At 39.4% G+C, this 25,735-nt stretch overlaps 2 pseudogenes across 1 annotated transcript in view; both read right to left on the bottom strand.

The window, feature by feature from the left end:
* Positions 1-255: 255 nt before the first annotated feature.
* UBE2D4P3 (UBE2D4 pseudogene 3) lies at positions 256-766 on the bottom strand (annotated as a pseudogene).
* Positions 767-1,175: 409 nt separating this feature from the next.
* H3P4 (H3 histone pseudogene 4) overlaps positions 1,176-25,735 on the bottom strand; it is a 58,864-nt pseudogene continuing 34,304 nt past the window's right edge. The window contains exon 3 of the transcript NR_160941.1: positions 1,176-2,339. The product of NR_160941.1 is annotated as a H3 histone pseudogene 4, transcript variant 2 (transcript). The remainder of the gene's footprint in view (positions 2,340-25,735) is intronic.

Here is a 25,735-nt window from a genome sequence, read left to right on the forward strand (position 1 = left end):
AAGGGAAGATGGAGCCACCATGTTGAACATGCCTACCCCCCAGGTAGCCTTGTCCTATTGGCACAGCCGCCAGCAGTCACCTGTGCAAGCTTCCAGCTTGCTTATCTATGTCTGCAGCTCCATTTTACAGGCTGCTTTTTGTTAGAAAAGAAATTATTTGGGGGCTGCTTTTCATTAAAAGGGAACCTTACCAAGGACTTCCTTACCCTAATGCCTAAATAATTTCTTTTTAACTCCTATATCAATTTGTTTGAAGAACAGATGACACTTTGAATGGCCCAGCCCACAGCCCAGAATTTCAAGGGAAGACCTTGAATTCAAGGGAGACAATGTCTCCCGTAAAATCACCTAGGCACTTACATAGCATATTTTTCTGTCCACTGTCTTGCTAGTCTGTTGTAGTTCTCTCTGTCGGCCTTGTAGGTGTGGGGTATCTCTAGCACCAGAGGATCATTGAGGTTGGGGATGCAGGGCAGTGAGCAGATGGACAAGAGAACTTTTGACAGTCAATGCTGGAGACCACTGAGACCATAGGATGTCGAAGCAGATGCTGCCATTGCTATTGATATTGGGGTGATAAATTTTGGTTGTGAAAGCAACCTTTGGGGGCTTGAACAGGCAATCCGTAGGAAAGTGGATGGTCAGGAAGAAAACACCTCCTTGGCAAGGACTGTCATTAATTATCACCCAGAGGCCCCGTGGAGCACTGGGCAGGAGGATTCGTCTGCAAGTTGGTTAATTCCTTCAGGATCCACTTTAGTGCCATCCTACCCCACTGCTGGGGGCTGGGGTGGCCCAGCCACACTGCACTTTCTATATATAAGTTTTTTGAAAATGCTGCTTCACTGTTACCTTGCCTTGTATGTTAGTGCCCATCTAATTCAGTTGCTTTTGTAACTTGTTCCACAGTGATGCCTGGAGACCTGAGTATGTTTTATCTTTAAAATCTAATAATTTTACTAGGATATTGTCTTGAAGTTGATCATCCTGGTTTAATTTTTGCTGCCACTTTATGGGCTCTTTCAATGTGCCTCATCACATAAGTAATGTCATTTTCATTTTTGTAAATCAAGTCTCCTAGATTGTTCACCTGAAAGCCTGATTCTCCTTTAGAGAAAAAAAATGCTAAAAAAACAAAACAAAACAACAAAAAAAAAAACAAAACATTATATATCGCATTACAATTTTATTCAACAAATACAGAGATTTCCAGAATAGTTAAAACAAAGTAGAAAACAACTCTGGTGTTATAAGAGCAGTAGGTTCATATGCCCACTGTGCAGTAATAGACCAATACACTAAGACAGCAGTTTGCAACAAAGAATTTAATGATCACAGGGCAGCCAAGGGGAGAGATATGAGTAGACCCTCAAATCCATCTCCTCAAGAACTTCTGCGTTAGGGTTTTTAAGGGGATTGTGGAGGGTGAGGGGTTGGAAAATTAAGGTTGTTGATTGGGCAGGGGAAGGGGGATGAAATCATTAGGATTTGGAAACTGCATACTGAGTCAGTTCCTCAGTGGGGTCCTTCAGACCAGCTGACATCAGTAGTTTCACTGGTACACAGGATCTGAAAGAATATCTCTAATGGGAAACTTAACATTTCATAATGTTCAGGTTGTTATCTATAGAACAGTTCAGGAGAACTATAATCTAGGGCCTGCCTGATTCTAGCACAAACAGCACCAAACAACTGTGAGGAAGCAGGTCCAAGAGCAGGCTGCTCTCAAGAGTAATGCAAAATTGCTGCAAGCTTGTTTATTTTTGTTTCTCCCCTTCCCTTCTTCCCTGATTAATTTTATAAAGTTTATAGGGACAGTTTCAATGGCTTCAACACAGTATTGCCAGGTAAGGACTTGAACCCAAGATGCGGAAGTTGCAGTGAGTCAAGACCAAGCCACTGCTGCACTGCCCAGTCTCAAAAAATAAAAATTAAAAAAAAATCAGGCCAACACCTGTTGACACACATTGCTAGGAATCCCTTTGGGAAAGCAAATGGGCTCACGGAACACACGGAGGCCATGGTGGGTGACAATGTTAACTAATTCTGTTCATGGTGTCCAGGGTACAGGCCTGAGGGTCCACTCGCCACCTCTGCCCAAAGCCACGTCTCCACTGCTCCCCTCATCTCCGCACGGATTCCTCCCCACGTGCCTCCCCTTTTCTTGGACTGCCGACACCTGACACCACCAAGGTGACTGCTCCTCCCCACAGCTTCTCTCCTTCAGGGGACTTCACTTCTTGTTCCTCGCTCCATAGTGAGGCGTGACCCAGCGGTCAGCCCAAGGTCTAGCATGCAAATCAGGGACGTGATGGTTCTTTGGGATTCTAGGGATCTACCTGGAGAATAGATGAAAGTAACAAAAGTTTTACATACCAATATTCAAAACTGCATCAAACTACCAGAAACACTTGCCACTTTCAAAGATAGACTATGCTAAGTAGCTCCAGGTGTGTGCCACCATGCCTGGCAAATTTTTGTATTTTTAGTAGAGACTGGGTTTCACCATGTTGGCCAGGCTGGTCTCAAACTCCTGATCTCAGGTGATCCACCTGCCTTGACCTGCCAAAGTGCTGGGATTACAGGAATGGCTCTTGACTCTAACTGCAAGGTCCCTAGATCATTAGATCATTTCCTGAATATCTTATGCTTCAGGTATTGGCCATCACTTGGGTTACCATTGTCATAAGTCAAAAGCCTCCACAACCAAGGCCCTTAAACATGGGATAGCCTGTGCAGGGCAGAAGTATAAAGAATATAGAGAAGTGAAGCACAAAACTTGTTGCATTGGCCAGGAATTAAACCAGGGTCTCCTATGCAGGCGGTGAGAATTCTACCACTGGACCACAAATCCGGCTCTTATGTGTGGTCCTGGAGAAACAATTGAAATACAATACTGAAAAAGACAGAAATTGTTCCAAAAGAAGCTTTTTGTAGTATTGACTAAAAGCTAACAGTAGACATCCAAAACCAAGGTTTTTACAGAATACTTTTACTAGACAAAACTATAAATATTAAAATAGCTTATTTGATCAAACTTTAATTCCGAAAAAGGCTCCTTCCAACTGCGTAACAGACTCCTATAGAAAAACATCAGAAATTCATCCAGGTTCCTTGTTTCTGATCCTAAATCTTCAATTTAGGACCTCAACCTCAAACTGTTGCTTTAGTGGCTCTGGGAAGGAAGCACTAACTGGCAGCATAGGTAAGTAAAGTTTTAATCTAGGGAAGAAATAAGAAGCAGAATCAGAATTAGAATTAGAAGAAAGAGGGAATATGCTATACCAGAATATCATAGGCAAAAAAAGAAGATGAAGAAAGAGGAAATGAAAGGACAGAAGGTAATGCTAATGGAGTTAGTTATTTGTGGCCGTTTTTTGTAAAAGAGTAATGATCAGTCTTGTAATCATTATAATACTATTATTTGCTTTCTAAAATGTTTAAAATATTTGAAGGAATTTATGATATAAAAAGATGAATAATGCTTGCAGTCAGTGTTTCATTGTTTGGGAGAACCCAGTTTCCTCAGTTAATACACTTTCGTGTAATAGCTGTTTAAGGAGTAACATGGTTTAAAGACATATTAGTGGCTGAAATATTAACATATTGGTCTTTTGATGAAGTTCAAATAGAGAGATTTCTTTCCCCAATTTTCCCTGGAAAGATTAAACTGAAGAGAAAAATCTGGAAAGTTTGCCCCACATGTTGGGTCTGGGAGTCATTATGACTTTTTCAAAGACAGGAGTTGTGTATGACATGGAATCATGCTTCTTCTCTAGTTGAGAAGCCAAGCTAGGTCCAGGCTGAGTCATAAACTTGAACCCAACAAGGAAATCACCCTTCACATTGACCTTGCAGAGCTTTGGCTCTATCTGTTCTCTGCCCAACACCCAAGACACATACTAGTTCTGGCCAACAAACCTTCACATATTGTCTGTGTCAACCAGAGCTACATTTATTCCCAAATCTCTTTCTAAAATACAAACCTGTACTTTCTACTCTCAACCCCAAAATTTACAAGAGGCCTCATATGCATCTCAGAGTCACAGATGCTAAAACTCAACACACCAGTGAGTTCCCTGTCAGCATCATATACTACCCTCTACCTCAATGATCAGCCCCAAGCCAGCATCTCCCAAAGAGTAGTGTGTTGTCGTGGGTGTTTCAACAGATCACTAAAACCTGCTTCTACCCCTGCCTAGACACTTATCCTCACTGCTATGCATCCTGCTCCTCAAATCAGATCTTGATATCTTCTTTAAACACTCCCAATCTCCCAACACGACAATTCATTTCCAAAGAATTATAGTATTTAAATTTATTGGACTCTATACAGACTCATTCCCACTTTGTTACTACGCTGGTCCATCCATCACCTCCATTAACATAAGTAGATCAAAAACTGGCCTCTCTACAGCCAGTCTTGTCTATTCCAACCCATTTGCCACACTGTATCCTGAGTGACCTTTCCACAGTGTAAATCTGGACATACCTGTAGCCTTAAATCATATCTACCAACATAGTAGCCAAGCAACAGCAATCTCTTTTCCTTTGGTCATTAGAGTCCTAGAGACCAAGAGGATGTTGGGAAAAGAATTACCATGGATCAGCTCTCAGAGGCAGTAGGTTCTGGACTCGTGCTGGCTTTGATACGTGTGCATTGGAAAAGCTCAAGTACCCGGCAATACTTGGAGATTAGGAAGAAAGGATGAAAATAAACCACTGCACTAAATAACATGACAATAATCACTTATACAAAAATTTTAAAGATAAGGAATATTTAAAGATTTATTAGTTTATTATAGCTTTATAGTTGGAGAGTGAAGAAGAAAATACCAAAGCTTTTTGTCTTAACAAAATGGTGCAGACAGATTAACATATATTGTCACCTATGATAACCAGTCAGCATAAAAAGTATTTAGAAAGGAATGGTTATATTCTCTAAGAGATATATTCTGATGTCATGTTTTTTGCTTTAGAGTCTATTAATATAGCCACCTTTTTGTTAATGTTTTCAGTCAAGCTCCTTTTCTTGCCTTTCATTTCCAACCTTTCTCTCACTTTCTGGTTTAGATACAACTCCTAAATATATCATATAGTTAATTTAAAAATCCAGTGTAGCAGTATTTCGGGGGTTTGTTTTACTGGATAATTTGGTCCACTTACATTTAATGTAATTGTTGATATATATTAATTTTAAATCTACCATCTTTATTTTTTTCTGTTTGTTCTGCTTGTTCTGTTTCTATGTCTTTTCTTGTCTGTTTTGGATTGGTTATTTTTAACTATTATAACATTATATTTTTTTACTTTTTTATATGCTTTGCTTCACTTTCTTCCTTATTGTATTTCCTTTAATTGTATTTAAGTTGCTTCTATTCTTTTGTGGTTACTTTAAAAATTACAATCTTAATCCTTATTTTTTTTTTTTTTTTTTTTTTTTTTTTTTGAGACAGAGTCTCACTCTGTCTCCAGGCTGGAGTACTGTGCCGCGATCTTGGCTCACAGCAACCTCTGCCTCTCGGGTTCAAGTGATTCTCCTGCCTCAGCCTCCCGAGTAGCTGGGACTACAGGTGCAGCTAATTTTTGTATTTTTTTAGTAGAGACAGGGCTTCACTGTGTTGGCCAGGATGGTCTCCATCTCTTGACCTCATGATCCGCCCACCTTGGCCTCCCAAAGTGTTGGGATTACAGGTGTGAGCCACCGTGCCCAGCTAATCCTTAATTTATTAAACATAGTAATAATTGATACCGTTATCCTCTTCCTGCACAATATATGGATGTTGGAATACTTTTATTCCATTTAGTCTCATTCTATATATATGCTGTTATCATTTATTAGGTCTAAGTATTAATAGTTTTAAACCCCAGAAGACTAGGCATATATTTTATGTAGTTAATGTTAATTTAGATTTATCAACATATGTGCTGCTATCTTACTCTTTATTTCTGCTATGTCTCTGAATTTCCATATGTAATCATGGTCCTTCTGCCGGAGAAACATCATTTAGAATTTCCTTTTGTGTTGGTCTGCTTGTGAAAAACTGTTTCAGCTATTTTTCTCTGAAAGTGTCTTTATTTTGCTTTAATTATTGGAGATTATTTTTACTAAGTATGTAATTCTGGAGGCAGTTATTTTCTTTCAGCATATTGAAGATATTTGCATTTGATTGTTTCTTTTCAGAAGGCAGCCAATTGTCTCGCTGCTGCTTATTTGAATGTAATGTTCCTTTTTTTCCTCTGTTTTTTGTCTTTGCTATTTTTGTCTTTGTTTTTTTTTTTATTGTCTGCAGTTTTACTACTCTGTCTTTAGGTATGGAGTTCCCTTTATTTATCTTCTTTGATTGGTAGGCCTTCTAGAATCTGTTGACTTTTGAGTTTCATTTTGTCTGGAAAACTCTCAAGTATTATCTCTTCAGTTATTGCCTCTATTTTCTCTCTCTTCTACTTTTGAGCCTCTAACTAAAAATAAAGTAGACTTTCTCACTCTATTTGTTATATTTTTGTGTTTGTGTATTAAATATTATTTTTTCTCCTTGTTATATATTCTGAATTTTTTTCTTCTTCCTCATCTCCCACTTTACTAGTTCTCTTTTCAGCTGTGACTGCTCTCCTGTTAAACTCTTCCATTGAGCTCTTAATTTTGTTTTGTTTTTTTTTTTCCAAATTTCTGTTTGCCTCTCTCTAAATCTATTCTGTCATTTTTTTGTTGTTTCCAATTGGTGTGTAAATTGTTAACAAAACCCTTTTCTCCTTCTGCATGATAATTTGACCTTAATTAACTTTCCAGCTCTGTCCACCTAGAGCCTTCTAATGACAAAATGTCAACTATGTTACTAAGCAAACATTGCATATCATAAAAAAGACTCCTAACTGATGGACTACACTTGGACTGGGAAAACTAAGTATCTGGAAGAAGCCAGACTTTGAGCTTCTCTGAATGCAGTGACTCCTATAACTTGCATACACCTGGCATGGGCATTGGAAACTACTCTATTAAGTTCTTAACAAGAGATAATGGCTCCAGGATGGTGCCACATGCACCTCAGCTGTCCCCAAGTAGACAATGAGGGGTGGAGAGTCAAGAGACTATCTCCTAGGTACTGTGTGGACTGCTGCTGCAGGGACTGCTCCTATAGAAATATCATGCCTGTTGCTGCCCTGATAGCAAGCTATAATTCTTATCCTACGTCTCTCGGATTAATCTGGTGCCAAGTATGGCCTCTGAGATTCTTGTGAGCCTGAACGTTAAGTTGAAGCTAAGAAAACATCCAAGTGGGCAAAATTCTTCCAAATTTTGTTTCATGAATAATGTAGACATCATTGTTTTGCAGTCTTTCTAATATATCTAATATTTGGGGGCTTGATTTCAACTGCCTGACATGTCTGCTGGTTTTCACACCTGGTTTAGTTTCTTTGGGTTCATTATTATTTTTGAGTATGTGCCATATCTTGTATCTGGAAAAATATTTTTGGAATAATCTGAGATCTACAATGAAAGCTTTCTTGCCCAGCACCTGGGGGTACTTCCAGCCCAGAACCACCTTTAATCAAGTAAAAGGTGTGAAAGATGCTCTGAACTTAAACTGTGTAACATAAGGGATGTTTCTTTTATAGTTCATTTTTATCCCAAGATTATAGAAATGTAAGGTCCTACCTTATTGTAGGATTATTCTCCTGATAAACTCCCCAACTTGGGCAGACTCTGGTCTTCTATTTCTGTCCCATTAGTCACAGAAGGCTGTCAAACCCTAATATGCACGTCAGGAAATGTCCTTAGCCAAAAAATGGTTTCTCTGCTTGCTTACGGCTCTGGGTTCCAGTTTTTCCTTTACTTCAGGCCTCGTAATTCTTCAGTGTTAATCATCATCTTGATGCTTTTAAAAATATTTGTTTTCTATATAGTACCTAAATAGCTTAGTCAGTGTTACCAGAAATGTATCATCAACTTTTAAAATATACTAAATGCTTAAAAAAATAAAGTCATATTTTACTGCTATGGCTCTGACTTGAAACTAAGTTGATGAGGCCATGAGCTGGAGCACAAATCAGTCCCCCCACTGTGAAACTGTCAGGTCACCACAAATACAGATTTTATTAGCAATGCAGAATTTTTCTTTTCCCTCTTAAGTCATCCAGTGACCAATCGGTTCTAGGCCACAAGATCAAAAACTCCGGTCTCAAAATCTAACAACCCCCAGCTGGTAATCTCACACATGCTCAGATTTTACTTTGTGAAAGAGAATCAAGCCACATCATATAAAATTAAACATTTATTATTTTTCTTAATAGTCTAATAGAGATATACATTTGTGTATATTGGCCAGAAATTGGGCTAAAATTTTCACAAATGGAAATCAAGAATGTTACCATAGAACTATCAATGCCAACTTTAACTATCTGAATCAGATGGCATAGCCTAGTTTCCTCTACAACTGACAGCACACTCTTTGGTATTTTGGTATTTTTCAGTGTCCTTGAAATGTTTAACTACCCACTAAAGAACAGGTCACATGGAATTAATAAACAAAGGGCTTCAGTTTCCATCAAGCACCTTCAAGTGACAGGAACAGGGATTTAAATAAAAGGATCTAAGTCAGCACAGGAAAGTGACTGTGCTGCCAAAGTGACTCAAACTCAAAAGGACAGGATGAGACTTACTCAGAACTTCGAGGAAGTGTAGAGAAATTATCCACCACTTTTTATCCTAGAGGTGCCTTTGTGGTTGTGACCATGCCGTAGAATGATTTGGGGATCCCTTCCAACTGGAAGGACATCTTAGACTGAGGGAACCCAAGAAACCTGATTTCGGTCACCCCTGACCATCATAAATCCCATGCAACAGGTCCATGCATTATCTAATGTTGACTCTGGGAATGGTCATTGTCATTGTTTCCTATTTGAATGGTTGTCACATTTCCTGCTTCAAATGATATCCAGAAATGATGGCTTGGGACCATATTCTCAATTTTTAGGTGGCAAATAGACTCCAGAGACATCACACATAATAAAATACTTGGACTTTGAAAGGAAACAGTCATGTCTATGACTTACAAGCTTATAAAGATCCCTCAGATGAGTTATGTACATGGATTGAGAATCAGAAAAGGAAGGATGCTCTCTCAGGAGATAGAAAAACCAGATAAAAGGAGAAACTGAAATTATCTGACCCATCCCCTCATCGCCTATGTAGAAGGGAAATGCTTACTTTATCTAACCAGTGGATAACAGACAGCCTCTTTCATTTTGGAGCTACCAAAAAGAAAAATAAATTGTGGTTTGGTTCAGTTCCCTTTTGACCAGTATGTTCTTGAAATTTTGAAAACATTTTACTCTTTTTCCTTTTAGTGTTTCAGTGTGGATAATTTCATTTGATCTATTTTCAAGTTCATTTTTTAGGCCAAAATTTGTCAAATATTGGCAATTTCATATGATTCAACTTAATATATTAACCTAATGTGCAAAATTCAAATTTGTTTCTATACTACTAAATAATATCCCCCTGAAACGCTTTGCCAATTTACTCCTACTGACAGTGTATGAAAATATCCATTTTATTTCATCCTTTACAAGGTGCTATTATCAATAATTTATACTTTTACCAATCTGGGAAGTGAAAAAGACATTTAATTGTCTTGACTTGCATCTCCCTTATTACTGGTTAGTTTAAATTTCTATTCTCCGTTCATTTTTCTGTTTATTTTCTTTTGTAGTACCTACTACTTCTTGATATCTTTATTTAAGCTTTATATATTTACTTTTTACCTGTTAATTGTTGTAATCACCCACTAAAGAGTAAATTCTGGCTGGGCACAGTAGCTCACGCCTATAATCCCAGCACTTTGGAAGGCCCAGGTGAATGGATCACTTGAGGCCAGGAGTTTGAGACCAGCATGGCCAACATGGTGAAACCCCATCTCTACCACAGATAAAAAAATTAGCTGGGCATGGTGATGCACACCTGTGATCCCAGCTACGCAGGAGACTGAGACACAATAATCGCTTGAACCAGGGAGGCAGAGGTTGCAATAAGCCGAGATCACACCACTGCACTCCAACCTGGGCGAGGAAAAAGAAAAAGAATCAGTTCCATCAGAGCATGGATTAAGTCTCATTCACCACTCTAGTGCCTAGAACATTTTATGTACTCAACATATAATAGTTAAATGAATGAATGAAAGTTAGACTGTAGGGGTGTCCATGAAAGTAGATATTAGCTAAGTTCCCAGAGATTGACTCCTCTTTTCCTGGTTCTCACACTTCAAGCTCTGTTAAGCCTGGAGGAGGGTGTTTTGTCTTTAAAAAGATACAGCTCCAGGTTACCCCTTTGGACCAGTTCCTGTTCTTAGGTCTCAGACTTCCTCTATTCATGAATGGTGGATATATATGATTTCCTGTGATGTTTCTTTACATTATGACCATAATGAGCGTTGATTTTTAGTTCCTGATCCCCTCATGTAATGACTGTTCAATTAATGACTTTTTGCCATAATGGCTATTATAAAGCTATGTCACTTTTTGGACAACTCCTTTTTTATTATAATGATTTGTCACCCCAAAATAAATAAACATGCTATAAGAAATTATATTTTGACATCATGGTTTCAAGCAGACACTATATAGAAGGATGTGTATGAATGAGCATGTAGGGAAGTGGCCAAAGAGGGGCCCACCCTCTGTAATCTGCTTTTTGATGCTAAGGTGAGGACTCTGCAAACCACATCTTTTTTTTGCTTGCTGGCTTTATTAGTTTCTGTCAGTAAGGGGTGTTAAAAAGAGACTGAAAGGCTGGAGGAGGGATATAGGTCTGGCTGCTTCCTATTTTGTTTCTTGTTTCAATTAGCATCATCCCAGCCATAATTTTTTACTCTGAGAGTGGTCATTGTTTCCAGTTTCATTTCTTTTCTTTTCTTACAATCCCGGAGCCAGCCTCATGGCCCCCTCTCAAAGGCATGAGCATCAGCCAGTGGACACCTCTTCTTCAGAGGTCTGAGTCCCTGCTACACTAGGTACTTCCTCTGAGTTCCAAGGCCACCAGCAACCTCCTTCTCAGAAGCCATCCTCCCAGTTATGTGTGGCCCTTCATCCAAGTTACCAAGTTCTAACAACCCAACCATTTTACCTTTGTTTCTACAACCCTAGGGTTGATCACTGCTTCGCTTTCTACACTTACTATCTCTGTGTTACATCAGTTCCCCTTTTGCCTTCTTAGACCTCCAATACCTGTATAATTCCTTGTGTTAAATTCCCTCTGGTATACTGTTCATTTTCTATTTTTTTTTTTTTTGAGACAGGGTCTTGCTCTGTTACCCAGACTCAAGTGCTGTGGTGCAATCATAGCTCACTGAAGCCTTAAACTCCTGGGCTCAAGTGAGTGTGCCACCATGCCCAGCTAATTTTTATTTTTTTTAGACACAGTGTCTCACTCTTTTTCCCAGGCTAATCTTAAACTACTAGATTCAAGTGATCCTCCCATTTTGGCATCTCAAAGTGTTGAGATTACAGGTGTGAGCCACCATGCCCAGCCCATTTTCCTTTTAGACCCTGAATGACACACAGTACTACTCACCAATTTACCTGACATGACCATTTGTAGTCAGAGAATATTGTGTGAAACAACTTTGAATTGCATGACTGTATTAGTCTGTTCTCACACTGCTAATAAAGACATACCTGAGACTAGGTAATTTAAAAAGAAAAGAGACTTGATTAACTCACAGTTCAGCATGGCTGGGGAGCCCTCAGGAAACTTACAATCATGACAGAAGGAGATGCAAACACATCCCTCTTCACATGGCAGCAGCAAGGAGAAATGCAGAGCAAAAGCGGGGAAAAGTCCCTTATAAAACCATCAGATCTCGTGAGAACTCACTATCATGAGAACAGCATGGGGGAAACCACCCCCCACAATTCAATTACCTCCCACTGGGTCCCTCTCATTATGTGGGGATTATGGGAACTACAATTCAAAATGTGATTTGGGTGGGGACACAGCAAAACCATATCATTCTGCCCTGGCCCCTCCCAAATCTCATGTCCTCACATTTTAAAACACAATCATACCTTCCCAAAAGTCCCCCAAAATTTTAACTCATCCCATAATTAGCTCAAAAGTCCAAGTCCAAAATCTCATCCAAAGGCAAGTCCCTTCTGTCTATGAGCCTGTAAAATCAAAAGCAAGTTAGTTACTTCCTTGATACAATGAGAGTACAGGCATTGGGTAAATACAGCCACTGCAAATGGGAGAAATTGGCCAAAACAAAGGAGCTACAGGCCCCAGGCAAGTCCAAAATTCAATAGGGCAGTAATTAAATCCTTAAGCTCCAAAATAATATCCTTTGACTCCATGTCTCAAATCCAGATCACACTGATGCAAGAGGTGGACTCCCATGATGTTGGGCAGCTCTGACCCTGTGACTTTGCAGGGTACAGCCCTCTTCCTGGCAGCTTTCACAGCTAGCATTGAGTGTCTGAGTCTTTTCCAGGTGCATGGTGCAAGCTGTCAGTGGTTTTACTAACCTGGGGTCTAGAGGATGGTGGCCCTCTTCTCACAGCTTTACTAGGAAGTGTCCCAGTGGGGACTCTGTGTCGGGGCTCCAACCCCACATATCCCTTCTGCACTGCCCTAGCAGAGGTTCTCCATGAGGGCTCTGCCCTTGCAGCACACCTCTGCCTGGGCATCCAGGCATTTCCATACATCCCCTGAAATCTAGGTTCCCAAACCTCAGTTCTTGTCCTCTGCACACCTGCAGGACCAACACCATGTGAAAGCTGCCAAGGCTTGGGGCTCGCACCCGCTGAAGTCATGACTCAAGGTGTACCTTGGCCCCTTGTAGCCATGGTTGGAGTGGCTGGGACACAGTGCACCAAGTTCCTAGGCTGTACACAGCAGGGAGGTCTCTGACATGCCCTGAAGACCTTTTCCCCACTGTCTTGGCGATTAACATTTGGTTCCTCATTACTTATGCAAATTTCTGCAGCCAGCTTGAATTTCTCCCTAGAAAACAGGTTTTTCTTTTCTACCACATAGGCTGCAAATTTTCCAAATTTTTATGCTCTGTCACCTCTTGAACGCTTTGCTGCTTAGAAATTTCGTCTACCAGATACTCTAAATCATCTCTCTCAAGTTCAGAATTCCACAGATCTCTAGAGCAGGGGGTAAAATGCTGCCAGTCTCTTTGCTAAAGCATAACAAGAGACCTTTCCTCTAGTTCCCAACTAGTTACCATTTCCATCTGAGACCACCTCAGCCTGGACTTTATTGTCCATATCACTATCAGCATTTTGGTCAAAGCCATTCAACAAGTCTCTAGGAAGTTCCAAACGTTCCCACATCTTCCTGTCTTCTTCTGAGCCCTCCAAACTGTTTCAACCTCTGCCTGTTACCCAGTTCCAAAGTTGCTTCTACATTTTCAAGTATCTTTACAGCAGTGCCCCACTACCCAGTACCAATTTACTATATTAGTCCATTCTCACACTGCTAATAAAGACATACCTGAGACCGGGTAATTTATAAAGGAAAGAGGTTTAATTGACTCACAGTTCTGCATGGCCAGGGATACCCCAGGAAACTTACAATCGCAGTGGAATGGGAAGCAAACGTGTCCTTCTTCACATGGCAGCAGCAAGAAGTACAGAGCGAAGTGGGGGAAAAGCCCCTTATAAAACCATCAGATCTCGTGAGAATCATTCACTATCATGAGAACAGCATGAAGGTAACTGGCCCCATGATTCACCTACCTCCCACTGGGTCCCTCCCATGACATGTGGGGATAATGGGAGCTACAGTTGAAGATGAGATTTGGGTGAGGACACAGCCAAACCAAATCAATGACATATTTAGATGAACCCAAAATACTGTTTTTCATACACATGCCAAGCAAAGTGAATGAGAGGGTTGCATCTTCTATGACTCTTCAATCTGCTGTACATGTTCACCATTTCAATATTCTATAAAGCCTTTTTGTGTTTAGCTTTTATTTGGTCAAAGCCTTAAGGTAAAGGAAATTATTAATCACATTAAATTTGATATTGAATGCTGGTCTGGCACTGAATCTTCACTGACTTTGAAAGAATAATCCCCTCCCAGTCCTCCTCTATTGACCATCACCTATAACCAAGTCTCCTCTTCCTCCTTTGATGAATACAATAAAAATTCATATGTGAAAACTGTATTTATTTTATTTTTATCTATTATTTACATAAATTTAATTTGTTTAATCTATATGTTTTCTATCTTTTGGGTATCTTGGGTTAATTTTTCTGTTTAGAATAACAAAAACTTTTTATTCACTTCACATATTTTCACTTAGTTGTAAGATTTTCAAACATAAAGTCATTAAGCAAATGTTTGTGTACAAGACACACAGATACAGAAACTGCCAGGAGAGACTCTGATAACTTCCATACTTCTAATTTTGCATATAAGCTGTCTTCAGGATACACAAAGACTGAGGGAAGAGAAGATGCTAAATGTAAATAATATACATTTATTTATGTATTCATTATCAAGCATATGTTATCTGAATGTCTTTGTAAAGCAATATACAAATAGAATAGGAACGTGATATATTTACTTCCCCAGTTGTGGTGTAAGCATCCTCTAAAAATGCTTACACCACAATTGGGGAAGTAAATATATCATGTATATAATGAATAGACTATAAAAAAGAACACATGGGGCAGGTACGACGGCTCATACCTGCAATCCAGAACTTTGGGAGGCCAAGGCAGATGGATCACTTGAGGTCAGGAGTTTGAGACTAGCCTGGCCAATGTGGTGAAACCCCATCTCTATTAAAAATATAAAAATTAGCCGAGCGTGGTGGCACAGGCCTGTAATCCCAGCTACTTGGGAGGCTGAGGTGGAGGATCCCCTGAACCTGGGAGGTGGAGGTTGCTGTGAACTGAGATCACACCACTGCCCTCCAGTCTGGGTGACAGAGTGAGACTCCATCTCAAAAAAAAAAAGAAATGAAAAAGCAGGAACACATGATAGGGTAGTCTGAGCTCTGTACAAATAGGAACAGTAACATAGACAAGGAGTAATTAGAGTAGGCTGAAAAAAAATCGAAAGATCTTCTTGAAAAAGATCCTGAAGAAATTTATGAAACTGAGTTGACTAAGGGAATAAGGAAGCACGTGAGTAAATACAGCAACATTACCTAAATTCCCTTTCCATCATCTCTCTGTCATCTTCTCCCACCTCTCCTAACCAACCCACAGGGATTTAAAAACATTATTGAATTTTTATCTAAATGTGATGGAGGATGGACAGGAAGAGAATTACTGATTACTCTCAGTCAGGATTCATCCTAGCAGCAATTATTTGTAATTTAACTGAAATAAGTCCATTTGACTGAAGAGACAGCTTGGAAATCACTAAAATGAGAAAGGAGATGTTTTAGAGAGTATGACATCTACAAGTGAATGAAAGAGAAATCACCCTTAAACTCACTGGTTTGGGGAAGTGAAGTTCCCACAAATGTGACACACAGGAAATTGCCTTTCCACATGTGAGTTTTCTGAACTGAACCAACTGCCATCGATTTGCACTAGTAAGACAGTATTCCTAACCAAAGCAGGGAAAACAATGATGTGATCCCAAGAAGTCCTTGCACTCCCAGACTTCTAGTCTCATCTGTTTAATTTGACATTGTAGGGACCAAGAAAAAGCTTCCCCTTCTATCCTCTGAAAGTTTGCTGAAAATGGACTATAGACAAATTAATAGGAGAAAAAGCCATACAAAATGTATTTAACATGTATAGCTCAGGGGAATTAAAGGAGGATGGTTACCCAACAACCCAGTAAGGTCCAAATGGTTATACACCCTTCCTCATAGAGAAAGGGGAGATGAAGGGTGTAGCAGTAAATGGTTTTCAGGGGGAATGAATGAACCCAAAGAACAGTGATCTGGGACAAAGTTCCTCTGAGCTCTGGGGTCAGTGGCCAGAATGTGAAGGACAGAACTTTACTGTGAACAAAGGTTGTTTTATTATTCAGATAAAGCCTCTCAGGTACTCTCTCTGAGCTGCCCTTGGAGGAATACATGAAAAGTCTGTCAGGGCAAGGTGAGGACTACTAGTTTCTTCTCTTGTGGTTAATCTTTCCTGGTTATTTCATGAGATTCCTAGGGAGGGAGTTTTAAGGCAATTGCATTTCTATTTTATTTTATTTTATTATTTTATTTTATTTTATTTTATTTTATTTTATTTTATTTTATTTTATTTTATTTTATTTTATTTTTTGAGATGGAGTCTTGCTCTATCACCCAGGCTGGAGTGCAGTGGCACAATCTCAACTCACTGCAACCTCTGCCTCCCGTGTTTAAGCAATTCTCCTGCCTCAGCCTCCTGAGTAGCTGGGACTACAGGTGCATGCCACCACACTCAGCTAATTTTTTGTATTTCTAATAGAGATGAGGTTTCGTCATGTTGGCCAGGCTGGTCTTGAACTCCTGGCCTCAAGTGATCCTCCTGCCTCAGCCTCCCAAAGTGCTAGGATTACAGGCATTAGCCACCGTGCCCAGCAATTCTTTTGGAAAGAATCTTTCTTAGTCAGCTGAGGAAATTCCATAGAGAGTCCCTGCTAGTGCTTCAGGAAAGTAAGAGGATGGGGGTGAGGTGTAGGTAAGGGTGAGGAGAGGTCAGAGAGAGATACCTTGAGGCTGCTTCTTTAGTTCAGCATGTCAAAGTGCCATATTTTGGGGTATTGTTTTCTGAGCCCCAGCAGCATCAAAGGTCATAGTTCCTGAAACTGCAGAGACAGCACTGAAGACTGCCATGTAGGAAACAGGATGTCTCTAAAGTGAAAAGAGCCAGGACTTGGATCTAGAAGTGAGTAGTAGAATGGGAAAGAATCTAGTCGTAACTTAGAAACCACCTCAGTCCTTCCTGGGTTAGCATTTGTCATCGTTTACTTAGGCTGCTGCTGAAGGGATTTGATTCAAGCCTCTGTGACTCAGCAGTGGGCACAAGCATTGCTATCCCCCCTTTTTCTAGGAAAATTGTTCAAAAGAAAACCTTGACACAAACTACGCATTAACCCTATATTACAACATCTTCATAGAGTCAGGTGAGAAGAAGGGAGGCCAGAGGATCCAGTCTTGAATGCTAATGGTATCTTAAACAGGGTCTTTATTGAGTTCTACCTTAGTATGGTAAATTATAGTTGTAAGGAGAATGGTCTCCCCTTTGTCCCTTTTGACTACAAGAAGCCGGTGCTCACCCTCTGAAAAGTCAGAAGATGTACAACATCTGCTACTCCTACCAAATGCTAAGCCACTATGAGGATATAATGCTTTATTTTTATTTATTTATTTATTTAGAGACAGAGTCTCACTCTGTCACCCAGGCTGGAATGCAGTGGTGCAATCATGGCTCACTGCAGCCTCAAACTCCTGGGCACAAGTGATCCTCCTGCCTCAGCCTCCCAAGTAGCTGGGATTATAGGCATGAGCCACCAGGCTCAGCAATGCTTATGTTTTTTTGTGCGTGTGTGAGACAGAGTCACCCAGGCTGAAGTGTAGTGGCACAATCTCAGCTCACTGCAACCTCTGCCTCCCGGGTTCAAGCAATTCTCCTGCCTCAGCCTCCCAAGTAGCTGGGACTACAGGCACAAAACACCACGCCCAGCTAATTTTTGTATTTTTTTAGTAGAGACGGGATTTCACCATATTGGCTGGTCTTGAACTTCTGACCTCGTGATCCACCTGCCTTGGCCTCCCAAAGTGCTGGGATTACAGGCGTAAGCCACCGTGCCCAGCCAACAATGCTTTATTTCTTGACTCTCTTTCTACACCCCTACTGCAAAAGACTAATTTTCCCCAGAGGACCTGATTTTGACTGAATTTTAGCCTCTTCCTCTTCCACATAATAAAGCTGCTAATTGCCTGAGAGAAGACTGCTGAGTTACAGTGTAGAGGGAAGCATACTCAGGGACAATTAGCAACAATTCTGTTTCTGTTAAACCTTATAATTCTTATATCACTACTGCACAGAACTAGACATGGAGCTAGTTTATGTCTCACTGTACCATTTACTAATTTTTTGACCCTGATGAAGTAACTTAACCTCTTGTAGCTTTATCTCATGTACAAAATTGAGACAACAGTAAGATGTTCTCATCTAAGTAAAATGTTGAAATGTTGGAGTGTTCCAGGCTTGTTTAGATAGATGGAAAACACACACACACTCATTCACTCTCTCTCTCTGTTACTCTGTCTTTCCAATAAGTCTTGTTTTCACTTCTTAAGAATCAGCCTAGAGGTGACTGGAGGAAGAGAAACTAAGTTGTGGTGACAAAGAACAAGACTATGAGTAAGGATCACTATTACCCTTACAGACTGGATAAAACCCTAAGAAACAAAATCATTGTGCAAAACCTTTCAGGCCAGGCGCAGCTGCTCATACTTGTAATCCCAGCACTTTGGGAGGCCAAGGTGGGAGGATCACTTGAGCCCAAGAATTCAATGCCAGCCTGGGCAACATAAGAAGACCTTGACTCTACAAAAAATATAAAAATTACCCAAGCCTGGTAGTGCATGCCTGTAGTCCCAGCCACTCAGGAGGTGGGACGATCGCTTGAGCACGGGAGGTCAAGCCTGCAGCGAGCCATGATCATGCCACTGCACTCCAGCCTGAGAGACAAAGCAAGACCCTGTCTCAAAAAAAATTTTTTTCAAGGAATAGAACCACTGCACATGCTCCTCCTGATCCCCCAAAGTGTAAGATTTTCATGCAAATAGCTATCTCCCAGGACTTACATTAGTAAGGTATCTGGATATAAAAATCAGTGTTCCCTAAATCAGCTGTGTTTCCATTATATCAAAAATAAACTTTTAGAAATTACCATTTGAATTAACAAAGATACACACACACACACACACACACACACACACACACACACACACACACGCACACACCTAGAAAGAAATCCCGTAAGATTTGTGCAGGGCATTTATGAAGAAAACTGTGCAATTTATGGGAAGTTATTAAGAAAGACCACATAATTTAATAGATACATTAAGTTTACGGTTTAGAAGACTCAATGTCATTAAGTACAAATTTTCTTCAAATTTGTTTACATATTCAATGTAAATCATCTAAATCCCAACAAATACTAAGAAAGCTGACAACTTGATTCAATGTGTACATTAATGAGCAAAAATCCAAGAATAACTATGAAAATCCTGAGATGATTAAGGAGATGTGCACTACCATATATAAGGATGTATTATAAAGCTATAATATTAAGACAATGTGGTATTGAGACAAAGATAAGCAAATTGCTGGTCAAATAGCCTAAGCTCTAAAAACACATATATATGAAACTTTGTGATAGAATTGTCAGTTCATATCAAAAACAGGATGATTAGGTCTTTTAAATGGTACTGACACAACTGCTTATACACAAGGGAAAAAAAAGAAATTAGATACCTGCTTCACATCACCTACAGACATGGACTTAAGACTTAATTGTAAAAGGCAAAACTTTAATACTTTTAGAAGAAAATACTTTGGAATCAGCAAAGATTTCATACGCAAGACAAAAATACTAATCATAAAATAAAATACTGACAAATTAAACCTCATCAAAATTAAGAACTTTTGTACATGAAAAGACAACATAAAGAAAGTCAGGAAATGAGTTGCCAATCAGAAAAAAATAATTTCAACAGAAGTAAGCCATGAGGGTTTGTATCAGACTAAATTTTTAAACCTTTATAAACCAATAAGAAATAGACAAAAGTGCACACTATGAACAAAATAAAAGCCACAAACAGATATTTCATGGAAGAAACTGCATAAATGGTAAATTAACATATGAAAAAGGACTCAACCTCATCAGTAATCAGGGAAATCTAAATTAAGTCTACCATAGAGTACTATTTTATAACTACAAAAATGGAAATGGGGACTAAGAAGTCTTCTTACATTATATAAACCAAAAATAAAATTGTAAGACCCCCCAAGCATCTTAATGGACCCCTCCTCTTGGCCAAGGGCATTCCAAAGTGAACCTGAAAAACTAGTTCAGGCCATGATGGGAAGGGGGAGCTGAACATGCCTCATCATACCCTCCTCCCTTTTGGAATTACTGGTAGAACAGACTCTAAGTCTGATAAAAAAAAATAAAATAAAAAACATTTACAATCTATTCTCTCTGAAGTCTGCTGCCTGGATACCTGGAGGCTTCATCTGAATGACAAAACCTTGGTCTCCACAACCCCTTATCACAAGCCAGATATTCCTTTCTATTGATAATAACGAATTGCCAATCAGAAAATCTTTGAATCTGCCTATGACTTGGAAGCCACCCCACCCCTGCCTGCTGCTTCCAGTTGTCCTGCCTTTCCAAACTGAACCAATGTACATTTTACATGTATTGATTGATGTCTTATGTCTCTGTAAAATGCATAAAACCAAGCTGCATCCTGACCACCTTGAGTACATGTTCTCAGGATCTCCTGAGGGCTGTGTCACAGGCCATTGGTCACTCATATTTGGCTCAGGATAAATCTCTTCAAATATTTCACAGAGTTTGACTTTTTTGTTGACAAATACTAAGTGTTGACAAGGGATTTAGTGACATAGAAATCCTTATATCCTATTAATGACAGGGCAAAGTAGTATAGCCATGTAGAAATTAACTTGGCATCATCTTATAAAATTAAAAATTTACACATCTATAACACCTTATTTTTCTTTCAGTACCTTTTAAAGATGTTGTTGCTACATTGTCTTCTTACTTGCATTATTTCCAACAAGAAATCTGATGTTTTCTTTGTGCCTCTGTGTGTAGCATGTCTTTTTATCTCCGATCACTTTTGAGATTTTCTCTCACTAACTTTCAGTAATTTGATTATTAAATCCTTACGCTGTTTTCTTCATGGTTTTTGTTGTTTGGGGAGTGTTTTTATTTGTTTTTGTGCTTGGGGTTCATTGAGAATCTTGGATTTATAAATTTATAGTGTAGGGGAGAAAAAATAATTTTTCTTCTACCCTTCTGAGTTCTCAGCTGGGACTTTTATAACAAGACAGATTAACAACAGAAAAGCAGATAATCAGGGAAAAATGAGTAACTCTCAAAGAGGTGGCCTAGAATTTTAGCTTATGTAGCATCTTCAACTAAAAGAAAGAAAGAAGGGTGTTGGGAAAGCAAGCTATGGGAAAGTGTTCAGGAAAATCAAACAAGAGTAAGGTTTATTATGCAGATTTAAATTGGTGCCTTCTCCATTGATAAGAGCCTTTTGTGATTTAGTCCTCCTTCTTTTCCCAGCCCAGAGAGGGAGATAGCCTTAGAAATGGAGATTTCTTTTAAAAATGTAAATTTCCCTTACAGAAGGGTAACTTCTACTGTGTTTTTAGAATTCTCCTGTGTCTACTGTTTCTCAAAATAATCAGCTCAAAATAATCCTTATGCCAAAAAGTCATATTTTAGGGTGGCACATGCCTGTCTCCTACAAGTTTTCATCAAGTTTGAAAACTTTTTGGTCATTCTTTGTTCAAATATTTTTTCTATCTGTTACCAGGAAGGGGTCCCAATCCAGACTCCGAGAGAGGGTTCTTGGATCTCATGCAAGGAAGAAGTTGGAGTGAGTCCATAGAGTAAAGTGAAAGCAAGTTTATTTAAGAAAGTAAAGAAATAAAGAATGACTACTCCATAGGCAGACCAGCCCCAAGGGTTACTGGTTGGCTATTTTTGTGGTTATTTCTTGATTATATGCTAAACAAGGGGTGGATTTTTATTCCTTTCCAGGAAAGCGGGGGCAATTCCAGGAACTGACAGTTCCTCCTCTTTTTAGACCATATAGTGTAATTTCCTGACGTTGCCATGGCACTTGTAAACTGTCATGGTGCTGGTGGGAGTGTCTTTTAACAGGCTAACGGATTATAATTAGCATATAACGAGCAGTGAGGACGATCAAAGGTCACTTTCATCACCATCTTGGTTTTAGTGGCTTTTGGCCAGCTTCTTTACCATATCCTTTTATCAGCAAGGTCTTTGTGACCTGTTCCTTGTGCTGACCTCCTATCTCATCCTGTGACTAAGAATGCCTTAACCTCCTGGGAATGCAGCCCAGTAGGTCTCAGCCTTATTTCACCCAGCCCCTATTCAAGATGGAGTTGCTCTGGTTCAAACGCCTCTGACATATCCACCTTCCTCTTTTTTCAAGGACTCCAATTGTAACGCTAAAGATTTTTGCCTTAGCCAGACCAAACAATTGGTGTGGCGGCTGCCCGTGGCGATGGAAACACGGACCAAGAGAAAAAAAGCTGTAGGCTTTATTGAGCAGAGTGACAGTACAAAGCTTTTCAGCGTGGAAGGGGTTTCGAGCGGGTAGTCAGAGGTCGATGATGCAGTTGCTTTTGAAACTCTTTAAGGCGGGAAATACGTGTAGAGGGAAGATGTTATCAGAGCGAGAAACAAAGGCAGTAAATTATTTTGTGACATGTCTTAGATTTTGAGGAAAACCAGAATTGTAACTTAGGTTTTACTTATTTTATGACCTTGCAGCAGTATGGCAAAGGAAACAATCTTACAGGACTTTATAAAGTATGTTTACAAGGAATTGGAATTGGGAGTATAGATAAAGTTCGCTGGTCATAGAAAAACAGGCATTTAATATTCCTTTTAGTTTTAGGGGAGGGGGAAGGGAGAGAGGGAGAGAGGACACAGGGAAGCTTACAGCAAAATTTTTGCTGTTTATAGCTTTTTTTGGGAAGAAAACACATGCACAAATCCTGGTGTTAGGAATATTTTAAGCATATATCTTTAATATTATTCATTCAGGACCGAAGTAAGTTCTGATGCAGAAAATGAGTGAGTTTTACAGCTTTCTGAGCCCCTGTTTGACTCAGGAAGCCCAGCTGGCCCCCTCCTTTCAAAATTACACATATATTAGGCCACTTGAAGTTGTCCCACACCTCACTGATTCTCTTTTCATTTTTTTTAACCCTCTGTTTCATTTTGGATTGTTTCTATTGCTCTGTCTTTGCATTCATTAATCTTGTTTTCTGTGGTCTAATGTGCTCTCAATCCCATCCAGCATACTGGTTTTCATCTCTAGAAGTTGGATTTTAGTGTTTTTCTATTTTCCATGTCTTAATTGAGGTAAGACCCTTCTGGGTTCTCTATCACATGCCTTGTGAATTGTGCTCTCCTTTTTTGGGAACTGGCACTATTTCCAGCCCTGTGTGAGTGTTGGGTACTGTTCTAGCTAATGCTTTCAAGTGGTTCTTTCCTGGGGTAGTTTTTTCACACACATGCACCTGTGAAATTAAAGAAAAAGAAGAAGAAGAAACTTTTTATCTGAGGAATGTGAGCCCCTTTAAATTATCAAGCTTGGAGAGGCATTGGAATGAAACTGCAGTCACATCACTCCCCCTTGAGTGATTATCTTGTAAAGCCACTTGCTATACGGGCTCCAGACTAACTGATGCCAAGCAGCCATAAAATACCATATGCTGGACACCACGACTCATATCCTATAGTTCAACAGTGTATAACCAATAACTAATCCATGTCATCTCTGTAAGCCAATGAAAATTTCTATCAAAGAACTTTGTATCCATCCACTTCTTCTTACTTTTGCCTTTAAAAACCTGCTTGTAACAAAAGCTGATTGAGCACTCCCTGAGTTAACTTGGAAGTGTGTCCTGGGCAGCTGTGCTCACTTTGGCTCAAGTAAACTCTTTAAATTATATCTTGTGCTTCAGCCCCTTCCTTCTAGATCAGCACACTGATTACTACTCTGCTGAATACTTGGTGGGGACCCTCAGCAGATCTCTGGAATTCTCTCTGTGTGCAGCTTTTTCATTTCCATTTCTTGGATCCATGAGTTCTAGCCACCTTGGTCTCTCCAGACTCAGCTCTGTCTCCTCAATTCTGGGACTCCACTGGGACCTGCCTGAGTTCCCCTGTACCACAGCCTGGAGACCCTCTCAATGCAGTAGGTGAGGCAATTGCAGGGCTCATCTTTTTTCTTCCCTATCTCTCAGGGGTGACTGTCTTTTGTTGCCTGATGTCCACAGTTTCAAAAAAACATTGTTTCATGTATTTTGTTGTTTTGTTTAATTTTGTTTAGTTTAATTTTGTTTCAGGTGAGAGGATAAATTCAGTCTCTGCTACTCCATCTTGGCTGGAAATCTGGTATATCATTAATAATATTCTTGTTGTTAATTTGGGTTGTGGGTTTATAAATGTTCATTTTCTTATTTTGCATCATTAACCATATACACATATATATTACACATTTTTTCATTTGCGTAAAATATTAGTCAACTTTTTTAAGTTCTAAAAGAAAGTGAAGAGCCCTGGGGCGGAACAAGGGCAAAGAAGTAGGAAGAGTCTGTGGCCAACCTCTTAACTCACGTACCTTTCTGACCCTTCTACCTCTTCTACCTAGAGCCCTCCATCTCAGCCAGCTCCCCCGTCCTTGTCACCATGACTCTGAAGGTGCCTTTCTGACACACCAAGATGGTCAAGGAAAAATGGTGCTGGGTTAGGTGACAGGGAAGATCATGAGCTTTCATACTTTATGATCTGACAAGCCACTGTAGCCTCTCACATTTATATACTAAGTGAGGGTCTTTCAGAATAGCGCTTCAGTGTCTGCACCTGACTCACACTATTAGGCAGTTAAAAGCTGGGGAATGAGCTCATGTGAAGAGTTTTTCCATTTCAGATGATAGCTATTTTTAGGAACACAAGCTACATAAATGTTTTAACCCTTTTCCCATCCTTTTCCTCTTGCTGCTGTGATACAGGAAGAAAATCAAAATGGAGTGACCTTGCTATCTGGGGAAAGATGAAAACTGCATGTGCAAAAGCAAACAGACTGAGATTTATAACGAGTTGATCCCTTAAAAGCTTAGGAAAGAATCTCAAGGGCACATAGGAAAATAAGCAAAGGGCTTGATAGATATATTCATGACAACACAAGAAGGTGAAGTCGGGAAGAGGAAATGGACAAGGTCATCCCAAATTGAAATAACTTATAAAAGATAAATTATAATATCTCCAGAAATTAACTGTAAAGATTCCTATAAAATCATAGATGATAATTTTTTAAAATAAAAGATTGAGTAGTAAGAATAACTAAGAATAAAAAATTAATGAGTTCCTAGTGGAAACTTAAAATTGAACCACTGGGGGACTTTCTATAATGAATGGCAGTTGAAGAAAAAAATTGGGTAAACTTTATATGAATATTTGAGAAACACCTCAAGCATTAGCAACTACATAAAAGTTATACATTTCACCTGTCCAAGAGCTGTTACAACAGTATACAAAACATATTAAGCAAAATTGTACTATAGACAATTACTTATATGCAATTCTTTACTTAAAATTTAGCAGATACATTTGAATAGTTTCTAAAACACATGATCATCAAAGAAGGAATTGAGTAGGAAATAAAGCATTACTGTTTTTTACTCATAAAGAGATGAAAATAAAATAAATTATTGGTCAATTCTTTATGAGATTTAAATTATCTTAGCATTTATTTGTTTGTTTTTGAGACAGGGTCTTGCTCTGTCACTCAGGCTACAGTGCAGTGACACAATCACAGCGCACTGCAGCCTTAACCTCCCAGACTCAAGCAATCCTCCTTCCTCAGCCTCCCAAGTAGCTGGGACCACAGGCATGAACTACCATGCCCAGCTAATTCTTTTTATTTTTAGTAGAGACAGGATCTCACTATATTACCCAGGTCAGTTTCAAATTCCT

The sequence above is a fragment of the Homo sapiens genome, chromosome 1, assembly GCF_000001405.40.
Source record: "Homo sapiens chromosome 1, GRCh38.p14 Primary Assembly".
In the NCBI taxonomy this organism is placed as follows: domain Eukaryota; kingdom Metazoa; phylum Chordata; class Mammalia; order Primates; family Hominidae; genus Homo; species Homo sapiens.